This window comes from Homo sapiens, chromosome 16 (assembly GCF_000001405.40).
Source record: "Homo sapiens chromosome 16, GRCh38.p14 Primary Assembly".
Lineage (NCBI taxonomy): Eukaryota > Metazoa > Chordata > Mammalia > Primates > Hominidae > Homo > Homo sapiens.
Window position 1 is genome coordinate 84,380,250 of NC_000016.10, and position 24,711 is coordinate 84,404,960.

At 46.1% G+C, this 24,711-nt stretch overlaps 1 protein-coding gene across 4 annotated transcripts in view; it reads left to right on the forward strand.

Moving 5' to 3' along the window:
• ATP2C2 (ATPase secretory pathway Ca2+ transporting 2) overlaps nucleotides 1-24,711 on the forward strand; it is a 95,650-nt gene that overhangs the window by 11,712 nt on the left and 59,227 nt on the right. For 2 of the 4 annotated variants that reach the window (NM_001286527.3, NM_014861.4), the window contains exon 2: nucleotides 18,250-18,360. In NM_001286527.3, the coding sequence (NP_001273456.2) occupies nucleotides 18,250-18,360 (111 nt within the window). Of the gene's footprint in view, nucleotides 1-16,372; nucleotides 16,653-18,249; nucleotides 18,361-24,711 lie in introns of those variants that run through there. The other 2 variants (XM_011523486.3, XM_047434994.1) reach the window with 2 other exon arrangements.

Consider the following 24,711-nt stretch of genomic DNA (forward strand, 5'->3'; position numbering starts at 1 on the left):
ATTGAAATTTGAGTGACAGTTTTGCCTTCACTTATTATTGAATTCTCCTAATAGTAGTTGCTGTTTATCTACTATCTTGTGTGAACCGGGAATTGTATGTTTTTTTTCTTCTTTCCCTTTTTCCTTCCTTCTTTTCCTGTCTAAACTTGTCTTAAGTTTTTCTCATAAACCATAAATAAAAATTGGCACAATTTAAAGTTCCTCCTTCACTCCCCCACTTTATGGATCCTATTTTCCCCCGTGACTTGGGGTTGGGGGAGGCGGAGGGAGGAAGGTCCTGTTTGTTTCTGATCAGTTTGCGGTAATCAGGTCACTGTTTGCTTGGGTGTTCTTGGCCCCTTTTCTGCGCAAGTCTAGAGAGGCTGCAGGATTGTGGTTAAGAGCACGGAAGTCTACAGCCCAGGCTGCCTGGATGCAAATTCTAGTTCTGCCACTCGCCAGCTGTGAGACCTCGGGCAAACTTAACTTTTCCCTGCCTCTGTTTGTTCTTCTGTACAATGGGGTAGTAACTAAGTGTACATACATCGGGGGGTCTGTTGTGGAATGGAGTCATTTAATACACATCAAGCATGTAAGGTAGCACCTGATCATGGTGATTTTTATTAGCAATAATTATTTAATTATAAGTAATTATTATTATACAACTACAGGCTGGGCGTGGTGGCTCACGCCTGTAATCCCAGCACTTTGAGAGGCCGAGGCGGGCGGATCATGAGGTCAGGAGTTTGAGATCAGCCCGGCCAACGTAGTGAATTTCATGCGCGTCCGTGTGAAGAGACCACCAAACAGGCTTTGTGTGAGCAACATGGCTGTTTATTTCACCTGGGTGCAGGCGGGCTGAGTCCGAAAAGAGAGTCGGCAAAGGGTGGTGGATTATCATTAGTTATTATAGGTTTGGGGATAGGCGGTGAAGTTACGTTTTGCGTGCAGGGGTGGATCTTTCAGAGTACCTTCTTAAGGGTGGGGGAGATTACAAAGTACATTGATCAGTTAGAGTGCGGCAGAAACAAATCACAATGGTGGAGTGTCATCAGTTAAGGCTATTTTTACTTCTTTTGTGGATCTTCAGTTACTTCAGGCCATCTGGATGTATACGTGCAAGTCACAGGGGATGTGATGGCTTGGCTTGGGCTCAGAGGCCTGACAGTGAAACCTCATCTCTACTAAAAATACAAAAATTAGCTGCTTGTGGTGACATGAGCCTGTAATCCCAGCTACTCAGGAGGCTGAGGCAGGAGAATTGCTTGAACCTGGGAAGCAGAGGTTGCAGTGAGCCGAGATCATGCCACTGCACTCCAGCCTGGACGACAGAGCAAGACTCTGTCCTGAAAAAAAGAAAAAATATTTAAAAAAAAATTATACAACTACATAAGTGTCTTTTCCCTCATAGATTCATGCTGGGCACACTATTCTGCCCACTCCATGCTTCCATATTCCTGCAGTGTATGTGGGTCAACACATCTTCAATGGCGGTGTAGGCATTCGTATTTAACCCGTTTCCTGCCGACAGTTAGTTGGTTTCCTTTTTTGATTTTTAGAACAATGTTATAATGAACATCTATGGATATACCACATTGTTTTGAATCCTTACAAAAATCCCTGTAGAAATCTGAGGCTTAGAAAATGAAGTAACTTGCCCAGGGTCACACAGCTCTTCATGGAATTGGGCCCAGGGCGGCCTGAATTCTAAGCTCGAGTCCCCTGGACTCCTTGTCAGTGTTAGGAATACCTCTGCTTCAAATGCTTTCTTTTTTTCTTAAAGTTCTGGGATACATGTGCAGAACGTACAGGTTTGTTACATAGGTATCCACGTGCCATGGTGGTTTGCTGCACCCATCAACCCATCATCTACATTAGTTATTTCTCCTAATGCTATCCCTCCCCTCTCCCCACACCCCCTGACAGGCCCCGGTGTGTGATGTTCCCGTCCCTGTGTCCATGCGTTCTCATTGTTCAACTCCCACTTATGAGTGAGAACATACGGTGTTTGGTTTTCTGTTCCTGTGTTAGTTTGCTGAGAATGATGGTTTCCAGCTTCATCCATGTCCCTGCAAAGGACACGAACTCATCCTTTTTTATGGCTGCGTAGTATTCCATGGTGTACATGTGCTACATTTTCTTTATCCAGTCTATCACTGATGGGCTTCAAATACATTCTTCACAGAAACCTCCCCACCCCCTTTTAAGAACAGTTGCATTGACTTGACTCATGCCTCCCAATCCCCTGCCTTTTGCCATCTCTCAGGGTCAGTCCTGGGGCAGGATGGGCAGCCAGGTTCCTCCTGGCATGGGGGCTGATCTGTTCAGCTCAACACCATTGCAGCCAGGGCTCAAAGGCTGACCATAGACATGGCCAAGCCATGGCCACATGTGGTGGCTCACACCTGTAATCCTAGCACTTTGGGAGGCTAAGGCGAGAGGATCACTTGAGGTCAAAAGTTTGAGACCAGCCTGGCCAACGTGGCAAAACCCCGTCTCTACTAAAAATGCAAAACATTTAGCCAGGCATGGTGGCGGGTGCCTGTAATCCCAGCTACTTGGGAGGCTCAGGCACCAGAATCGCTTGAACCCAGGAGGCGGAGGTTGCAGTGAGCTGAGATCTTTTCACTGCATTCCAGCGTGGGCGACAGAGCAAGACTCCATCTAAAAAAAAAAAAAAAAAAAAAAGTAAAGAAAGAAATGGCCAAGCCAGGAGGAAGAGCTGCCCCTCTTCCTGGACCATCCAGGCAAAAGCAGCCTCAGAAGAGACAGGCAAGAGTCTACAGCTGGAGACAGAAGTGTGCCTCCTCTCCCAGGGACATGCTGGGATCCAGCGCTGGGCCTGCCCTGGAGCAAAGCTAGTGGGTTCCTGGGAGCCACTGTCCTTGTCATCTTGGGCACAGCTCAGTGGCCTACTGCTTTCTGCTACTGAGGCCGCAAGCAGGTCCACTAGGAACCAGCCTCACTGTCCCAAAACTGAGTGTGAATCAGTGCCAGGGAGGCCCAGCTGTGTGTCTAGAGGCAGACAGGTGGGCTGGCAGGAAAGCCTGCATCAAACCCTCACTCCACACTCACCTGCCGTGACCTTGGGCAAAGCTCTCAAATCCAGGGCCTTGGTTTGCCCATCCAACAAAATGGGCACAGCGCCTGCCAACTTGAACTTTTGGTGAGATAGAGGAGTGAAGGTGCGCGTGATGATAAGCAGCCATGTCTGGTCCGTAGTATGTGCTCAGCCAATGCGGGTTGAACCTGAATATAGGAATGAACCTGTTTCTTCCCAGCCATACCGTTATTCTGGAATCATTTCTTCATTTATTGTCTGGAAATAATTTCAAATGGACAGAAAAGTTGTAAGAAGATGATAGCACAAACACTATAGCACATCCTTCCTCCAGGGTCTCTCAGCATCGTCAGTACATTTCGACACTGGCTGCATTGTCCTCAGCCTCACCGCCCCCATTTAGACATAAATTGCAGACATGATGCTGTATTATTTCTGAATACATCTGTGTGTGTGTGTGTATGTGTGTGTTGGGGGTGGGGGTGTTGGTTTTGTTGGTTTTTTTTTTTTTTTTTTTTTGAGACAGCGTCTTACTCTTTTCACCCGGCTGAGAGCAGTAGCGCAATCTCGGCTCACTGCAGCATCCAACTCTCAGGCTCAAGCGATCCTCCAACCTCAGCCTCCCCAGTAGCTGGGACTACAGGCATGTGCCACCACGCCCAGCTAATTTTTGTATTGTTGTAGAGACTGGGTTTCACGCTGTTGTCCAGGCTGGTCTCAAACTCCTGAGCTCAAGCAATCCTCCCACCTCAGCCTCCCAAAGTGCTGGGATTATAGGTGTCAGCCACTGTGCCCAGCCTATTTTCTTTAAGTGACAGTCTTCATTAATCACAACAGAGTCCAAAAATCAGGAAATGAACATCTACACAACATGACCATCCAGTCCACAAGTTCCCATCAGCGTTGTCCTGGTAACAGGGAAAGGATGTGGCTCTTAGTTGCCACGTCCCTCTGTTTCTCCTTCTGTGTGGAATACTCCTGTGGATTTTCCTTGTCTTCTGTATTCTCGACCTTTTTAGAGATTCCGGGCTCAGATTCCAGGCTCGGGGACGTCATAGGATGTCTCTTGATTTGAGTTTGTCTAATGTTTCCTCGGGATTTGGCTCAGGTTACGCGCTTCTGGAGAAAGCCCTGTGGCACGATACTGTGTCCTCCTTAGTACATGGTATTGGGAGGCCCACCCAGCTGTTTGTCTCGTTACTGGTGGGAGTAACTTTTGCCCCTTGGTTAAGACAGCGTCTGCCAGGTTTCCCTTAATTAAAGCTATTACTTTCTCCCTTGTAATGATTAAGTATTTTACCGAGAGACATGTTGAGACTGTGTCAGTATCTGATTCTCGTTTTATTTTCGCTCATTAAGTTCGGCATGCATGGACGATGCTTGGCTGAATGGATTACTATCACAACGTTTGCTGAATGGTGATTTTCTAATTCCATCTACATTAGTCCCTTCTCACACTGCTATAAAGAAATACCTGAAGCCGGGCATGGTGGCTCATGCCTGTAATCCCAGCACTTTGGAAGGCCAAGGTGGGTGGATCACTTCAGGTCAGAAGTTCAAGAGCAGCCTGGCCAACATGGTGAAACCTGGTCTCTAATAAAAATACAAAATTAGCCGGGCTTGGTGATGCATGCCTGTAATCCCAGCTACCTAGGAGGCTGAGGCAGGAGTATAGTTTGAACCCAGGAGGCGGAGGTTGCAGTGAGCTAAGATTGTAGCACTGCACTCCAGCCTAGGTGACAGAGTGAGACTCTGTCTCAAAAAACACACACATAAAAAGAAGAAATACCTGAGACTGTGTGATTTATAGGGAAAAGAGGTTTGATGGGCTCACGGTTCTGCAGGCTGTACAGGAAGCACAGTGGCTTCTTCTGGGAAGACCTCAGGAGGTTTCCAATCATGGTGGAAGGCAAAGGAGGAGTGAAGTGTCTTACATGGTGGGAACAGGAGCAAGAGAGAGAGCAGGGGACGGTGTCCCATGCTTTTAAATGACGAGATCTCACGAGAACTCACATTCGCGAGGACAGTACTAAGGGGATAGTGCTCAACTATTCATGAGATATCCTTCCCCATGATGCAGTCACCTCCCACCAGGCCCACCTCCAACATTAGAGAATAGAATTGGACATGAGATTTGGGGGTGAACACAGATCCAAACCATATCACCATCATCATCATTCTCTCTCATTTAACGTCTCCTGTAAGGAAGAGCTTTCTCTTCTCCCTGTTAACTTGGTCGTTTATTCATTGATATCAGTAGGAATGCAAGGACTCTGTATTAGTCCACTCTCATGCTGCTATGAAGAAATATCTGAGACTGAGTAATTTACAAAGAAAAGAGGTTTCATTGACTCACAGTTCCGCATGTCTGGGGAGGCCTCAGGAAACTTACAGTCATGGCGGAAGGCACCTCTTCACAGAGCGGCAGGAGAGAGAATGAATGCTGAGCAAAGGGGGAAGCCCCATATGAAACCATCAGATCTTGTGAGAACTCACTCACTATCATGAGCATGGGGGAACCACTCCCGCCATCTAATCACCTCCCATGAGGTCCCTTCCCCAACATGCGGGGATTACACTTCAGATTACAATTCCAAATGAGATTTGGGTGGGGACACAGAGCCAGGCCATATCAGAGTCCTAGTTGATTAAATATGCTATGATTTGTTACTATCAATATTTATTTTGATGCTTCATTGTCTTAATTTGGCCAACGGGAACCCTTTCAAGGTGACTGCCATGCCCTCTTGACATTTTTTACGTTATCCTTTGAGCACTTCCCTTTCTGGCATAATGAGAAACTTCAGCTTCATTTTGTACTTTCTGTACCTTGGCCCTGGAAAAAGCCATTTCTCCCAGTATCCTTGGCTGTTTTTACCGGAAGAATTATATTTAGAAAGCAAGATCTGGTAGTATGTGTTCATTGTTACTGGGTGCCATGGCTCCTGGGCCCTCTCAGTGGAGGGGGTGTAAGTGTGCATATGCTGCGAGATCTATATTTAGTTTTATATCTGTCTCTCTCTGTATCTCCATATATTCCAGTCCAATAAATACCACAGGGTTTGTGCCAGTTCTTTGTATATTTTTAACTCTTTTCACCAACAGTAAGAACACTGGCTACCATTACCATTAGCATATTTCCTTACTGCACAATTTCCCTGTATGTAACCCATCTCCTCACCTTGCCAACAATTGCACTGGCCACCACTCTGCCTAGCCGTCTCCTCTTGGCCCGAATGCACTGGCCACCCTTGAGCAAGGTTCATGCTCCAAGTATCTCACTTTGTCCTGTTGCTAGCTCCTTGCTCGCTGGTGTCACACTCCCACTGCGTATGCACACACAGACGCACACAGGTACTACCTAGAAAGGACTTCAGGGGCTGGAAAACATCTCTGAAGCCCCTCTTGACCTGAGGCTGAAATTTCAGAAGCCCTTCCTCACATCAATGCTAGGTGCGAGGTATCATCATTCCCATTTTAAAGAGGAGGAAACTGTGACTCAGAAAAGTCAAGCGGCTTGCTGAGGGTCACACAGCGTAGGTGGGGGTAGCTAGACCAGGCCGAGTCTGGGCCTGGTGATGCCTCCTCTACCCTGTTGGCTGCATTTAGGGTTTTTGTTTGTTTGTTTGTTTGTTTTGGTCCCTAACATTAAAAAATATTCAGGCAGGCCCTTCTGAGTTCTTTTGCAATGTTCTTCCCCATTTTCCCACACTGTCTTAAGCTTGATTGTCGCCACTCACCTGTGGGCAGTGGGGTTGGGGGTGCAGATCTGAGGGAAAAACTGTTTGGCAGTGACGACTATCACTGAACAAGCATGCCGCGCTCTGAGAACCTGAGACTGCGATAACCCCAGACTGAGTTCCACTTCTGAGCACATTTGGGCACTCGTATCTCCTGGAGGGCTTGCATGTGAATGGTCACAGCAGTGTCCTATATAAAAGCCCAAACTGGGCCAGGTGCGGTGGCTCGTGCCTGTAATCCCAGCGCGTTGGGAGGCCCAGGCGAGTGGATCACCTAAACTCAGGAATTCAAGACCAGCCTGACCAACATGGTGAAACCCGTCTCTACAAAAATTAGCCAGGCATGATGGCAGGTGCCTGTAATCCCAGCCACTCAGGAGGCTGAGGCAGGAGAATCACTTGAACCAGGGAGGCGGAGGTTGCAGTGAGCCGAGATTGCGCCATTGCACTCCAGCCTGGGCGACAGAGTGAGACTCTGTCTCAAAAAAAACAAGAAAGATCAAACTGGACACAAAATGCCAGCCATGTGCACGTACTTAAATAAACTGTGGCATAGCCATGAAGCAGCGTACTTAGAATACTATAGAGCAACAAAAGAGAATGAGTGGCAGTTATTCATGGAAATGCACCAGTGAAGCTCACAGCCTATTCACTTCTCCAAGGTTGCGGCCCCTCAAGAATAAGACTTTGCTGGGTTGGCCCTTGAGTGCGTCTCCCAAGACAGCCCTTCTCAGACAGCTCTGGGTACATTTTAGAATATTAGAATCGCCTGGGGGACTGGGTGTGGTGGCTGATGCCTGTAATCCCAGCACTTTGGGAAGCTGAGGTGGTAGGATTGCTTGAGCCCAGGAGTCCAAGGCCAGCCAGCCTGGGTGACATAGTGAGATCCCATGCCTATTTTTTTTTTTTTAATAGAAGCACCTGGGGGCTTGTGGAGCCCTGATGGCCTCACTCATCTGCTGGTCTCGGGTGAGCCCACAGCAGGTGTGTTTTTGTAAGAACCAGCAGCAACTTTTGGCCAGGCAGGTGCAGTGGCTCACGCCTGTCATCCCAGCACTTTGGGAGGCCGAGGTGGGTAGATCACCTGAGGTCAGGAGACCAGCCTGGCCAAATGGTGAAATCCTGTCTCTACTAAAAATACAAAAATTAGCTGGGCATGGTGGCAGGTACCTGTAACTCTAGCTACTCGGGAGACTGAGGCAAGAGAATGGCTTGAACCCGGGAGGCAGAGGTTGCAGTGAGCCGAGATCACGCCACTGCACTGCAGCCTGGGTGAAAGAGCGAGACTCTGTCTCAAAAAAAAAAGAAAGAAAAACTAGTATCAACCTTTGAACACATCAGTCAGAGTCCTCTACAGAACTTGCTGGAACACAGACTGTCTGCCCACCCCTAGGGCTTCTGAGGTAGTAGGCCCAGGGTAGGGCCTGAGTTTCTGCATTTCTAACAATTTCCAGGTGATGCTGGCCTGAGGCCCATACTCTGAGAATCCTGGAATAAGATAAAACTAGAGAATACCCAGATCTGTGCCTTGGGAGAGAAGGATAGAGAAGCCTTGGAAAGAAGGAAGCATCTGCCTGAGTGTGGCTTATTTGGGTGTGTGTCTCCAATGTCACCCTTGTCAGGAAGCCCACTCGATTGTTTTGTTCTTGTGTCATTCTGACTCTTGCATTGATTCTCTCCAAAGGCATCGATCCCAATAATTACGTGCCCTATATTGTGAAATTCTTTTTTTGTTTTGTTTTATTTCTGTTTTTGTTTTTTGAGATGGAGTCTCGCTCTGTTGCCAGGCTAGAGTGCAGTGGTGCAATCTTGGCTCACTGCTACCTCCGCCTCCTGGGTTCAAGCGATTCTCCTGCCTCAGCCTCCTGAGTAGCTGGGGCTACAGGTGGGCGCCACCATGCTCGGCTAATTTTTGTATTTTTAGTAGAGATGGGGTTTCACCATGTTACCCAGGATGGTCTCAATCTCTTGACCTCGTGATCCACCCAAAGTGCTGGGATTACAGGCATGAGCCACCGCGCCCGGCCTATATTGTGAAATTCTTGAAGGATTGGGGCTGGAGGATTCACTAGGCCCAGGGTTCTTTCTCTGCCTCTTCTCTTTCTCTGAAACCCCCAGGGGCCAAGTGCTTTCCACAACCTAAGGCATTTGGGATTCCCACATGAGCCGTTTTCTTGTTCTTCTCAGCACCTTCATGCCTGTTCTTCCCTCAGCCCAGAAGGCCCCTCATTCCAGTACCTCTCTCAACTGCTTTCTCACAATTCCTGGGTGCCTTTCTAGATTCCCCGCGATCTGCACTGGGGCCCGCCCATCTCCTTCGTTGTTAGCTGCACCCCAGGAGGGCGTGACCACCACGCGAGTTTTGAGCATCTCTCGGCTTGTTCATGCCTCTGGTGTCGTCAGATTTACACATGACACACAGTCATGGTTGAATTTCAAACAATAAGTGCACGCTTGTCCCATGCGGTACTCGTGTATACTGGAAAATCATCTGGTGTTTATCTGGAGTGCAAAGGTAACTGGCATCTGTATTTTCGTTTCTTAAACGCGGCAGCCCTCTTCGGGCCCCTTGGTGTCCTCTAAGGACGAGGACTCCTGCTGTCCCCACCTCTGGTCACCGCTGTCACCCTAAGGCCCTCAGTGCTCCCTGGTGCTGGGCTCTGTGCTGGGAACTTCACTCTCACTGTTTCCTTTTTTTTTTTTTTTTTTGAGATGGAGTTTAGCTCTGTCACCCAGGCTGGAGTACGGTGGCGCTATCTCCGCTCACTTCAACCTCTGCCTCCTGGGTCCAAGCAGTTCTCCTGCCTCAGCCTCCCGAGTAGCTGGGACTACAGGCATGTGCTATCACGTTTGGCTAACTTTTTTGTATTTTTAGTAGAGACAGGGTTTCACCATGTTGGCCAGGCTGCTTTCGAACTCCTGACCTCTAATGATCCACCCACCTCAGTCTCCCAAAGTGCTGGGATTACAGGCCTGAGCCACCATGTCCAGTCTCACTTTCCTTTATCCCACGGCAGCCCTGTGGACCCCGGCTGTTATACCCTTAGCCCCCCACATTCCAGGGGAGGAAACTGAGGCACGGGCTAGGCTTTGGTCAAATATGTTGAAGCAATGCATGTCTGCATAAGCCCTCTAACAGGGAAGATCATTAGGGTCTAACGCAGTCCAAGTTCGCAATGAACCGAATCCCGGGGCTGGACGGGAGGGCGCCACAGCGGGGCTGGACTGAGGGAGGCTGTTCGCCCGGAGGTGCCGCTGGCTCCCTTGCTCTGGAGTGAGCTCACAGCTCCAACTCACCTTTCAGCAAGGGCCATACGTGCACTTCGTGGTCCCCTCGGGAGCCTCTGGTAGGTTAAACGTCAGTCCTGAGCTGCGCTTGTTGGGTGCAGCTTCTCTTGGAAACCTTTCTCTTCTAGGCCGTTTCCTTGGGGCTAGGGAGGCTGCGCTCACCGTCGCCCGCGTGGGTCTATCTGCAGCAGGCAAATAACATCTTGGGGGTTCCAAAGGAGGCACAGACACAGAAGATGGATGTGAAGTAGGCGGGACCGTGACGTCCATAGAGACAGGAAGCAGATGAGTCGTTCCGGAGGCTGGAAAGGGCGTGGGGAGTGCCTGCTTCCTGGGCACAGGATTTTCCTCTGGCGGGCGGTGAAAGTGTTTGGGGATGAGCTCCACGTGGTGCCTGCACAACATTGCAAAGGTACTAGATGCACTGAACTGCATGCTCTAAAACAGTTAATTTTTTGTTATGTGGATTTCATCTTATAAAAAGCTTTAAAAAGGGAAACACAAAAGAAAAGGGGGCCGGGCGCGGTGGCTCACGCCTGTAATCCCAGTACTTTGGGAGGCCGAGGTGGGCGGATCACCTGAGGTCAGGAGTTTGAGACCAGCCCGGCCAACATGTTCAAACCCCGTCTCTACTAAAAATACAAAAATTAGCCCGGCGTGGTGGTGGGCACCTGTAATCCCAGCTACTCGAGTGGGTGAGGCAGGAGAATGGCTTGAGCCCTGGGGGCAGAGGTTGCAGTGAGCCGAGATCACACTGCTGCACTCCAGCCTGGGTGACAGAGTGAGACTCAGACTCAAAAAAAAAAAAAAAAAAAAAGAAGAAGAAGAAGGGAAGGTTTGGTTCTGCCTAAATCACCTGTGATGGAGAGGGAGAATTAGGGACACTCTCTGACCTTTACCAGGATGCGCCACTCTCATTACAAAAGGAACACTTGCGATTCACAGTGGACTGATGTCTACAAAGTAACAAGAAGCTACAGCCTCGGACCCTTCAGCCCCACAGCCCCGGGGCAGCTACTGCCATCTCTCGCATCTTCTGTGGACGCACATACATGCTGTTATGGTCAAGGCGTGTCCTCCCAAAAACATGTTGAAGCCCTAACCCCTGGTACCTGTGAATGCAACCTTATTTGCAAATAGGGTCTTTATCCATGCAGTCAAATTAAAATGAGGTCACACTGGAGTTGTGTGGGCCCTAACCCAATGACTGGGGTCTTTATAAGAAAAGCAGACAGAGACGCTTGGGAATATAGCCATGTGCTGGCAGAGGCAGAGACTGCTGTGATACGTACACATGCCAAGAACGCGGAAGATTGTCAGCCACCGCCAGAAACTGGGAGAGGAAGAAAAGATCTTGCCTGCAGGGTTCAATGGGAACGTGGCCCTGCCAGCATCTTGGTTTCAGAGTTTTAGCTTCCAGAACTGAGAGAACAAATTTCGGTTGTTTTAAGCCACCGAGTTTGTGTTGGTTGTTTGTTACAGCCGTGGAGACCAAGCAGCCATGGGAAACTCACACACAAAGTTGAATTGAAACTGTTTCCAAGTTCTTTTATGTGACTCCCGTTCCCTCCCCTCCCTTCATCTTTCCTTCCTTCCTCTTTTTTTTTTTAAAACAAAACTAGGATTATATTACGACGATTGTTCTGCAAAAGGTTTTTTTTTTAATTTGATGACATATCAGTGACGTCTCCTTAGGTCAAATCATATAACACCTCTTTTCTCTTTAATTTTATACTATTTAATTTTGTATTTTGTATTGGAGAATTCCAATCATATGCAGAAATAGACAGAATAATGGAATGAGCCCACATGACTCTGTTACCCAGTGCCAATGAGGGGAGCCAATCTTGACTCCTGTCTACCCCAGATTGTTTTGACACAAATCTCAGGCTTCCTAGCATTTCATCTATAAATATTTCTGCATATCTATGGCTAAAGAGAAGAACTCTTTAAAATATCACAATTACCATTATCATATCATAAAATATTAACAATTAGAGAAAATCAAATATTGGCCAATATTGAGGTTCCCTTGGGCTCCTAAACACTGCTTCACGCTGGTTTATTCAAATCAGGACTCAAGTGAGGTCCCAGCCTGCACTTGGCTGGGGTCTCTGATGGTTCTCTGCGTCTGCACGTTTCATCCTTGTGTTTTTCGTTTTGAGATGGAATTCTGCTCTTGTTGCCCAGGCTGGAGTGCAGTGGCGTGATCTCAGCTCACTGCAACCTCTGCCTCCTGAGTTCAAGTGATTCTCCTACCTTAGCCTCCTGAGTAGCTGGGATTACAGGTGCCCGCCACCACGCCCGGCTAATTCTTATATTTTTAGTAGAGATGGGCTTTCACCATGTTGACAAGGCTGGTCTCGAACTGCTGACTTCAGGTGATCTGCCTGCCTTGGCCTCTCAAAGTGCTGGGATTACGGGCGTGAGCCACTGCGCCCGGCCCATTCTTGTGTTTTTGTTGTAGTTTACATGCTGGGGAGGCCGGGCTGTGTGTCCTACAGTTCCCACAGTCTAGTGATCATGTCCCCATGGTGTCATTCAACGTGTCTATTATCTCCAGTATTTCCTGTCAACTGGTGGGTGGGCCTAGAATGGAGGCTTGGTGCAACTCAGGAGATGTGTTTGGCTGCCTGACAGCGTAGGTGCATCATGGCTGATCAACCTTCCTCACGATTTACCCTGAGTTTGTTTCCAGTTTTTGAGTGCCTCAGCTTCAAGGTGGGCCATTCTGGGTCATGGCAATGTCCTGATCAGCAGCGGGCACGGGCCCACTTGGAGAGAAGAAGTGAGTGTGTGTTTGGGGTTGGGTAGAGGGATGGGGGCCGTACCAGAGTCTGTAGTTTCTGGAAACAGAGTGGACAATCCTGTTTTCAACAAAGGATACATTAAGTGCCATTTAGATTATGGAGCTGTGTGATTGGAATCAACCCGGGGCAGATTAGGCCCCCGGGCCCCTATGCATTCTTAAGGAGATGAGGGGGGTGCCCAGGTAAGCATCCCAGGTAGGAGTCTCCCAAATGCAGGGCGAGGAGTGGCAGCGTCCACGAGCTCAGTCACCAACCCAGGGACTCTGTTTCCTGACTGTCACGAGACTGGACTGAGGCAGAGCAAGCCCTCACTTACAATGTATTGGGTCCAGGGCTATGTCCCGGTGGCCTTGAAACACCGAAATGACCTGGAGATCTGGCTGAAGTCGGTTGAGAAGTGGATAGGAAATGAAAAGATAGAGACAGCAAGTATAGACACTCCTTCTAAAAGCTCGATGTTGGCAAATGAGGAAGGAGCAGGTGTATTTCCAATGCAAGGCCCAGAAAAGAGGTTATGTTTAAAGTGGAAACCCATGCTGAGATGTTTATGGGAGGAGCCAGCAAAGAGGGGAGGAGGATAGAGGATGGGAGGCCAGTGGATGGGAGGCTATGGGTGTGGGGGGAGTGGGGGTGGAGGGGGCTGTGACCGACACAGGTGGGACCCAGGAGAGAGTCAGGAGGACGGTTTCTAAGTGGTGGACGGAGTTCCTGCCTGTAGCTTGTAAATGGCTTTAAAAAAACAAAAAGGCTAGGCATGGTGGCTCACACCTGTAATCTTAGCACTGTAGGGGGCCGAGGCAGGTGGATCACTTGAGTCCAGGGGTTCAAGACCAGCCTGGGCAACATGGCAAAACCTTGTCTCAATTAAAAATACCAAAAAAAATAAAAAAATAAAAAATAAAAAGGCCTGGTGTGATGACACACACCTGTAGTCCTAGCTTCTCAGGAGGCTGAGGTGGGAGAATCAAATTGCTTGAGCCTGGGAGGCGGAGGTTGCAGTGCACCAAGATCACACCACTGCACTCCAGCCTGAGCAACAGAGCAAGACTCTGCCTCAAAAACGAAAAACAAAATTCTTATTTTATTGAGGTGAAATTCACATAACAAAATCAACCATCTCACAGTAAACATTGTAATGGGATCTAGTACACTCACAATGTCGTGTGACCACCACTTCTATTCAGTTCTGAAACATTTGAAAGAAACCCTGTACCCATTAGCAGTTTCTCCCCATTCCCCCTTCCCCAGTCCCAGTCTGCTTTCTGCTCCTACGAATTTGCCTGTCCCGGGCCTTTCCTATGAGTGGACTCACATACCGTGTGGCCTTTTGTGTCTGGCTTCTTCCGCTTAGTGTGATGTCTTCCAGGTTCATCTGTGTTGTAGCAAGTGTGTTTCCCAGGGCTATGGTCACCGAGTACCAAAAATGTGGTGGCTTAAATTTAAATGTATTGTCTCACAGTTCTAGAAGCCAGAAGTCAAAACTCAAGGAGTCAGGAGGGCTGTGCTCTCTCTGGAGGCTCCAGGGGAGGATCTGTTCCACGCTTCTCTTCAAGCTTCCATCATGGCCAGCAATCCCCAGCATTCATTGACCGATGGACACGTCACTCCAGCCTCTGCCTCCATCATCACAGGGTTTTCTCCTGTGTCTCCACATGGACTTCCCTGTGTGCATGTTTATCTCTGCAAAATTCTCCTTTTTGCAAGAACATCGCTCATATTTGACCTCATCTGACCTTGATCATTTCTGTAAAGATGCCCTCCAGATAAAGTCACATTCTGGTGTACCAGGTGTTAGGCTTTCAAAGAATGGTTTTGCAGAGGCCACAGTTTAACAACATTCACGTGCGTCAGTATTGCATTCCTGTTTGAGGCTGAGTTGATGCTCCACTGTCTGGATGGACCACATTTTGCTTCTCCATAATCCGTGGATGGGCATCGGGCAGTGTCTGACTTTTGGGTCTCGTGAACTGTGCTGCTGTGAGCAGAGTCCCTGTTTCCAGTACCCTTGGTTACAGAGCTGGGAGTGTGTAGGTGGCTTTTACTCACAGAGGGAAGTCGGAGGCTGGGTCCTCTCTCCTTTGGGCTCTGGACTCTGCCCCTGCAGTCACAAAACACAGGGGAGTGAGGGAGGTCTCTGCATCCAACCCCCTCTCCCCTCCAGTGTCACTGCAGCATGGCACCCTGTCACCCCATGACTTCCTCAATCCACCTAGCTCATTCCCCAGGGACATGTGGGTGGACAGCCCTGGGCCTTCAGATGTCCAGAGCACGTGACAAAGGTTGGGGGCACATGCTAGTCCTGCCCTCAAAGGCAGGGGAATTGGTGCCTTTGATCTTTTTTTTTTTTTTGAGACAGAGTCTCACTCTGTTGCCCAGGCTGGAGTGCAGTGGCATGATCTTGGCTCATTGCAACCTCCGCCTTCCAGGTTCAAGCAATTCTCCCTGACTCTGGCTCATTGCAACCTCCGCCTTCCAGGTTCAAGCAATTCTCCCTGACTCAGCCTCCAGAGTCGCTGAGATTACAGATGCCTGCCACCATGCCTGGCTAATTTTTGTATTTTTACAAAATACCATGTTGGCCAGGCTGGTCTCGAACTCCTGACTTTAGATGATCTGCCTGCCTCAGCTTCCCAAAGTGCTGGGATTATAGGTATGAGCCACTGTGTCTGGCCCTTTTCTTCTGGATTTTTATTGTGGTAAAATATACATAACATAAAATTCACCATTTTAACCATTTTTAAGGGTATGGCTCTCTGGCATTAAGTATATTCCCATTGTTATGCAACCATCACCAATATTTGCCTCCAAAACTCTCATCTTTCCCAAAGAGACTCTGTAGTCATTAAACACTAACTCCCCAGCCCGGTTACCTCTGCTCTCCTTTCTGTCTCTGTGAGTTTGACTATTTTAGGGACCTCCTGTAACTGGAGTCCTATAGGATTTGTCCTTTCGGGTCTGGCTTATTTCACCAGGCATAACATCTTCAAGGTTCATCCATGTTGTAGCATGTGTGGGTTTTGGGCAGTCACATTGAAGGTAATTGGGCTCTTATCCTGAGAGCACTGGAATCTCTGCAAGTGTTTTCAAGCATCGGGCGTGTGTGTGTGTGTGTGTGAGATGGGATTTATGTGTTTCGAGCCAGGTGCAGTGGCTCACGCCTGTAATCTCAGCACTTTTGGAGGCTGAGGCAGGCAGATCACCTGAGGTCAGAAATTTGAGACCAGCCTGGCCAACCTGGTGAAAACCCGTCTCTACTAAAAATACAAAAACAAATTAGTGAGGCGTGGCGGTGCGTGCCTGTAGTCCCAGCTACTGGGGAGGGTGAGGCAGGAGACTCGCTTGAACCCGGGAGGAGGAGGTTGTAGTGAGCCGAGGTCGCACCACTGCACTCCAGCCTGGGTGACAGAGTGAGGCTCTATCTCAAAAAAAAAAAAAAAAAAAAAAAGGAAAAGTGAATTCGGTGTAGTGAGTCACAAATGGCAAGGCTGAGGGCAGCTGAGTGAGTGTGGGGGATGGGGGGAGTGCCCAGCCTGCCTCCACCTGTGGTGTGCGCAAGAATCAAGCACTTTATTTGGTACGACGGGAGCAGATCTTGAGAATGGGGGGAAAAGTCTTGTGCAATCCACATTTTTCTTTGAAGTAACTCTACAAAGAATGCAATGTTGACTTAAGGAGGGCTCCCAATGGATGGCTAAGCCTGCTTAAAGATCTGCGTAATCGCTGCTGTGCTCCTGGGCACTGGGCATGAGTGAGAAGCAGCCGCATGAAACCGAGGTGGGTAGCACAGCTTTTCTAAGCAAATAGGCATTTGGGAGGAGATGGTTTGGGGTTGGGGAGGGCGGCTGTCAAGAAGGAAGAGTGGGATTTGCAATCTCTATTACAGCTAAAGGAGGAAGTTACTCAATACCTCTCCTGCTTCCTTTTTCCCAGTTTCCAGTAACCTGGTGGAAAAGGAAAAGATGATTATCACATCCTGGGTATCAGGATGCTAGGAATGGTTTTGCAAAAATACCTCACACTTTTCCGCTTCTGAGGTCTCCTTTGTATTAGCAAAGCCTCCCGAAGCCTCCAGGTGTTTCACGTGGCTTCTTTCCAGGCCCGCAGGTCTCAACACAGAGTGCTGGGACTTCCAGAACTTGGTTGTGTTTCCCCTCCCCTTTTCTTTGGTTATTTAAAATGTCCCATAGAACCAGGCTGTGATACCACCTATCATCAGTAGGAGGCACTCTCTGCAATATGGTGCATACTTGATGGAGAATCCTGGAAGTTCGAGGTTCAGGATTCTACATATGTATATTGTTGCCCTACTCTGTCCACTTACAAGTTTCAATTCTGTAAAATAAGTTCGCTCAGCCTGGGCAACATAGGGAGACCCTGTCCCTACAAAATATTAAAAAATTAGCCAGGCACAATAGCATGCACCTGTGGTCCTGCTATTCAGGAGGCTGAAGCAGGAGGATCACCTGAGCCTGGGAGGTTGAGGCTGCAGTGAGCTATGATTGCACCACTGCACTCCAGCCTGGGTGACAAAAAAAAAAAAAAAAAACTTGCTTAAAAATAGATGCATCAGTATTAGCCAACAACTAACAACTGGAACCCAGATATTCATCAACAGGAGAACAAATACAATGTGATCTACTCATACAGTGGAATACTAAGCTGCTGTGAAAATTAGCGTACTGTTGCTACATGCATTCTCACTTGTATAAATCTCACTAACAATGTTGAGTGAAAGAAATCAGACAAGAAAGCATGTATGAGTGTATACTGCATGGCACCATTTCCATAAAGTTCAAACCCTGGCCAACCTAATCTATGAGGATTGAAACCATGACAGCAGTTACCCCTCAGGTAGGTAGGTTGGCCAAGGGAGCATCAGGGGACCAGTCATATCTGTTTCTTAATTTGGGGGCTGGTTATAAGGGTTAGTTTGTGAGCTGTACACATATGCACACTGTGTGTGTGTGTTTTATGCTTTAAAAAAAACACATGTGGCCGGGCGCAGTGGCTCCACCTTTAATCCCAGCACTTTGGGAGGCCGAGGCAAGCGGATCACCTGAGGTCAGGAGTTTGAGACCAACCTGGCCAACATGGTGAAACCTCGTCTCTACTAAAAATACCAAAAAAATTTAGTGGGGTGTGGTGATGCGTACCTGTAATCCCAGCTACTCGGGAGGCTGAGACAGAAGAATCTCTTGAACCCGGTAAGTGGAGGTTGTGGTGAGCTGAGATCATGACACTGCACTCCAGCCTGGGTGACAGAGTGAGACTCCATCTCAAAAAAATAAACTAATAAAAATAAAAAATAAATTTAAAAATTAATCAGTACAAAAGTTCAATCCGCTAAACAGCAACCCTGCTCTTTTCACAGATTGATGAACAGAGTGAGCTGAAAGCCATCGAGAAAGAGAAGAAGGTGACAGCCCTGCCCCCCAAGGAAGCGTGCAAATGCCAGAAAGAGGATTTGGCCAGAGCGTTTTGTGTAAGAATTGAATTTGCATCTGGAGCTAATTGTGATAAGGTTTTATGTTTAAAAGAAAGCAACACAAAGCCCTGAACAGTGCTTTGAAATTCTGTGTTATTATCAATTTTATCATCAAGGTTGGAAAATATTGTTGATGTTGAATGGTTCAGATTCCACAGGTAGAATATCAGTACTTGTCAGTAGAGCTCGTCTTCACCAGGCCCTTACCGGAAGACGGCGTCCTTTGAGACACTCTGTGTACGCTGCTTCTCTTCAGCCTCACATTTCTTGGCAAAAACATAAAGGGATGGAAGATGAAGTTGAGACACAGAAAGTAGCACAGTCCAGTGTTAGAGGTAGCACAGCCCAGCGTGGAGTCCAGCTGTTTCACATGAAAGCCCAAACTCTTGGTCATCCGGTATTCCCACCGTCGTCTTTTATAATCCGTGGAGTTGCCAGGTACTAAAACCAAATTCTCCCAAGTTTCTCAAGTGAGTTTGAATTAATTCCTGGCCAGTGCAAGACAAACATTTGCATTGCACACAAGTGTGTGTGTGTGCACACGTGCGTGCACGTGCATACTCAGAACCACTACATTTTGGGAAAGCAAATAAAAAGCCCCCAGGAAAAGGGCACATACTACAATTTCAGGAAGTTGGAAGCTAGTGTCTTTTCTTGAGAATAACTCAAGTCTGTTTCAATTCAAGTCCTGTGTATTAGTATTTGGAGAGGGGGAGGAAGTATTTCTTCTCTGCCTGCATATTATCCCTAGCTAGAAAATGAGCTAGATTTTCTTTCACTATTCAAAAGAATCTAGAAATCAATTCTGTTCTCCCCGTTTCCTCTACCAGCAAGTACAGTTTTCTTGTTATTGGCTTTTTAAAAACAAGGACACTTTTGTTGCGACCAGAACAACAAAGTTTCCTTCCATTATGACTGACTCATAAATTAGCTGTATTTAACGAATTTGTTTACAGAAAGAGCTTGAATGGAGTTGGGCACAATATAATTGTTTTAGCTACTGTTTCTTTTTTATTTTTAATTTTTGTGGGTACATAGTAGGTGCATATTTATGGGTTCCAGAGATACTTTGATACAGGCATACGCTATAATAATCACATCAGGGCAAACGGGGTCTCCATTACCTCAAGCATTTATCCTTTGTGTTACAAGTCATCCACTTACACTCTTTGAGTTATTTTAAAATGTACAATTAAATTATTTTTGACAACAGTCGCCCTGTCATGCCAGCAAATACTAGGTCTTATTTATTCTTTCTGACTATATTTTTTGTACCCATAGCCCTCTCCACTTTCTCCCAACTACCCTTTCCAGGCCCTGGTAACCATCCTACTATCTCCATGAGTTCAGTTATTTTAATTTTTAGCTTCCACTAATCAGCGAGAACCTGCAAAGTTTGCCTTTCTGTGTCTGGAGGTCACTATGTTATTTGACTTAATATAATGACCTCCAGTTCCATCCATGTTGTTGCAAATGACAGGATCTCATTCTTTTTTATGGGTGCATAGTACTCCATTGTGTATATGTACCACATTTTCTTTATTCATTTGTCTGTTGATGGATACTTAGGCTCCTTCCAAACCTTGGCTATTGTGAATACTCCTGCGATAAACATGGGAGTGCAGATATCTCTTCAATATTCTGATTTCCTTTCTTTTGGTTATGTATCTAGGAGTGGGACTGGGGATCATATAATAGTTGTATTTTTAGTTTTTTGTTGTTTTTTTTTTTTGAGATGGAGTCTCACTCTGTCACCCAAGCTGGAGTGCGGTGGCGCGATCTCTGCTCACTGCAAGCTCCGCCTCCTGGGTTCACGCCATTCTTCTGTCTCAGCCTCCTGAGTAGCTGGGACTACAGGCGCCTGCCACCATGCCTGGCTAATTTTTTTGTATTTTTAGTAGAGACGGGGTTTCACCGTGTTAGCCAGGATGGTCTCGATCTCCTGACCTCATGATCTGCCTGCCTCAGCCTCCCAAAGTGCTGGGATTACAGGCATGAGCCACCGCGCCCAGCGTATTTTTAGTTTTTTGAGGAACCCTCCAAACTGTTCACCAGTCATACTAATTTACATTCCTACCAACAGTGTACAAGGGTTCCCTTTTCTTCATATCCAGGATTTGTTATTGCCTGACTTTTGGATAAAAGCCATTTTAACTGTGATGAGATGATACCTCATTGTAGTTTTGATTTGCATTTCTCTGATCACAGATGGTGAGCACCTTTTCATGTACCTGTTTGCCATTCATATGTCTTCTTTTGAGGAATGTCTATCCAGATCTTTGGCCCATTTTAAAAACAGATTATTAGGTTTTCTCCTATAGAGTTGTTTGAGCTCTTTATACATTCTGGTTATTAATCCCGTGTCAGATGGGTAGTTTGCAAATATTTTCTTCCATTCTGTGGGTTGTCTCTTCACTTTGTTGATGATTTCCTTTGCTGTGCAGAAGCCTTTTAACTTGATGTGATTCCATTTATCCATTTTTGCTTTGGTTGCCTGTGCTTGTAGTATATTACTCAAGAAATCTTTGCCCAGTTCAATGTCCTGGAGAGTTTCCCCGATGTTCTCTTGATAGTTTCATAGTCTGTGATCTTAGATTGAAGTCTTTAATCTTTTTTTTTTTTTTTTTTTGAGACAGGGTCTCACTCTGTTGCCCAGGCTGGAGTGCGGTGGCGCTATCTCAGCTCACTGCAACCTCTGCCTCCTGGGTTCAAGCAATTCTCCTGCCTCAGCCTCCTGTAGTAGCTGGGATTACAGGCATGCACAACCACATCCAGCTAATTTTTGTATTCTTGGTAGAGCTGGGGTTTTGCCATGTTGACCAGGCTGATCTCGAACTCCTGACCTCAGGTAATCTGTCCACCTCATCTTTAATTCATTTTTATTTGATTTTTATTGATAATGAGAGATGGGGTGAAATTTCACTCTCCTGCATATGGAGATTTTGTTTTCCTGGTACCATTTATTAAAGAGATTGCCCTTTCCCCAGTGGATGTTCTTGACATCTTTGTCGAAAACGAGTTCACTGTAGATGTATGGATTTATATCTGGGTTCTCTATTCTGTTTCACTGATCTCTGTGTCTGTTTTTATGACAGTACCATGCTGTTTTGGTTACTAAAGCTCTGCAGTATAATTTAAAGTCAGGTAATATGATTCCTCCAGTGTTGTTCTTTTTCCTTAAGATAGCTTTGGCTATTCTGGGTCTTTTGTGGTTCCATATAAATTTTTAAATTGTTTTTTCTATTTCTGTTAAGAATGTCATTGTTATTTTAATAGGGATTCGATTAAATCTATAGATTGCTTTGGGTAGTATGGACATTTTAACAATATTGATTTTTCCAACCCATGAACATGGAATATCTTTCCATTTTTCTGTGTCTTCTTCAGTTTCTTGCATCAATGTTTTATAGTTTTCATTGTAGAGATCTTTTACTTCTTTAAGTTAATTCCTAGATATTTAATTTGCAGCTGTGGTAAATGGGATTACTTAATTGATTTCTTTTGCAGATTGCTTTCTCTTAGCATATAGCAATGCTACTGATCTTTATCATTTGAGTTTGTATCCTCTAACTTTACTGATTTTGTTTATGAGTTCTAATAGCTTTAGGTGGAGTCTTTAGGTTTTTTCAGATATAAGATCATATCATCTGCAAACAAGAATAATTTGACTTCTTCCTTTCCAATTTGGATGCCCTTTATTTTTTACTCTTGTCTGATTGCTCTAGCTAGAACTTACAGTATTCTGTTGAATAGTAGTGGTAAAAGTGGGTATCCTACGGGAAAAGCTTTCAGTTTTTCATCATTCAATATGACACTAGCCCTGGGTCTGTCATATATGGCTTTTATTACATTGAGACATGTTCCTTCTATACCTAGTTTTTTTAGGGTTTTTATTATGAAGAGATGTTGAATTCTGTCACGTTTTTTCAGCATTAATTGAAATGATCATATGGTTTTTGTCTTTCATTCTGTTGATGTGTCACATTAATTTGTGTATGGTGAACCATCCTTGCACCCTTGGGATAAATTCCTTTTGGTCATGATGAATTTTCATTTTAATGTGTTATTGCATTCAATTTGCTTGTATTTTGCTGAGGATTTTTGCATCAATAGTCATCAGTGATATTGGCCAGTAGTTTTCTTTTTTAAATGTGTCTTTGTCTGGTTTTGGTATCAGGGTAATACTGGCCTCGTAGAATGAAAGTATTCCCTACTCATCTGTTTTTTGGAATTATTTAGTAGGATTGGTATCGCTTCTTCGAGTGTTTGGTAGAATTCAGCAGTGAAGCCACTGGGTCCTGGGCTTTTCCTAACCGGAAGACTTTTTATTATGGCTTTGATCTTATTACTTGTTATTGGTCTATTCAGCTTTTGGATTTCTTCATGGTTCCATCTTGGTAGGTTCTGTGTGTCTAGGAATTTATCCATTTCTTCTATATTTTCCAATTTATTGGCATATAGTTGCTCCTGGTAGCCACTAATGGCCCTTTGACTTTCTGTGATATAATTTGTGAAGTTTCCTTTTTCATTTCTGTTTGTATTTATTTGGTTCTTCTCTCTTTTTTTCTTAGCCTGGCTAAAGGTTTGTCAGTTTTGTTTACCTTTAAAAAAAAATACTCTTGTTTCTTAAGACAGGCCTATTTAAAAAAATGTCTGATATGTGGTAAATACACAACATAAAATTTACCATCTTAACCTTGTTATTTTTTCCAAGACATGGTCTCATTCTGTTGCCCAGGCTCGAGTCCAGTGCTGCAATCAAGGGCCAGTGCAGCCTCCACCTCCTGGGCTTAAGCAATCGTCCTGCCTCAGCCTCCTGAGTAGCTGAGACTACAGGAGTCTGCCACCACAATGGGCTAATTTTTAAAATTTTTTTGTAGAGCCAAGATCATGCTATATTGCCCAGACTAGCCTTGAACTCCTGGGTTCAAGCAATCTCCCCACCTCAACCTCCTGAAGTTTTGGGATTACAGGTATGAGTCACTGTGCCTGGCCTTAACCATTTTGAAGTGTACATTGTAGTTGCATTAAGTATAGTCACACTGTTGCACAACCATCGCCATTCTCTATCTCCAGAATTCTTTTTTTTTTTCTTGAGATGGAGTTTCCTTCTTGTTGCCCAGGCTGGAGTGCAATGGCGCGATCTCAGCTCACTGCAACCTCCGCCTCCCAGCTTCAAGCGATTCTCCTGCCTCAGCCTCCTGAGTGGCTGGGATTACAGGCACATGCCACCACGCCCGGCTAATTCTTGTATTTTTAGTAGAGACGGGCTTTTGCCATGTTGACAAGGCTGCTCTCGAACTCCCGACCTCAGGTGATCTGCCTGCCTTGGCCTCCCAAAGCGCTGGGATTACAAGCCTGAGCCACCAAGCCCTACCAGTTTATTATAAAGGCAAAGGATACCGATGAAGAGACGCATAGGGCAGGTAATGGGGGAAGGGGCGCAGGGCTTCCATGCCCAATGCTGCTATGAACATGGTTGTTCAAACATCTCCCTGGATGCCACTCTCCAGGAATATCCCCACGTTCAGGTACGTGAAAACTCACTGAATCCTATCTTTGGGTTTTTAGGGAAGCTTCATGACATCATTCCTTCCCCCAGATTATAGGGTGGGACCCTCTCATGGGAGGGTCTTAAGACCCACAGTCAGCAAAGCGGGTTACATTAGCATCTCCAGTATTCTTTTCATCTTGTAAAACTGAATCTGTCTCCATTAAACACTCACTCCCCATTCCCTCTCCCTCCAGCCTCTGACACCCACCATTCTACTTTCTGTCTCTATGAATTTGACTAGTCTATGTAATTCATATGTGGAATCAACAGAATTTGTCTTTTTGTGACTGGTTTATTTCACTTAACTTCATCCTCAAGGTTCAACTTAAAGGTGTATCCATGTTGTAGCACGTGTCAGCATTTTCTTTCGTTCTCAGGCTAAATAGTATTTCATTGTGTGTGTACACCATGTTTCATGCATTCATTCATCCCTTGAAAGATTGGTGGGTTGTTTCCTCCTTTTTGCTTTTGTGAACAGTGCTACGAACATGGTTGTACAAACATCTCTTGGAGCCCCACTAGCAGTTCCTTTGGGTATATACCCCAAAGTGGAATTGCTGGATCTGGTAGCTCCCTTTTTAATTTTTTGAGGAATCGCCACACAGTTTCCATAACAGCTGCACCATTTTACATTCCCAAGACCTTTTTTTTTTTTTTTTTTTTAAGAAGAAAAGATGTGTTTCTGCATTTCTGGAAGTCTATGCTGCATTTCCATTTGTTGAAATTTAAGACCAGAGTCGTCTTTTCTGCTGTAATTATAATGGTCACTGGCTTGTGCCTTTTCCTCCTCTCTC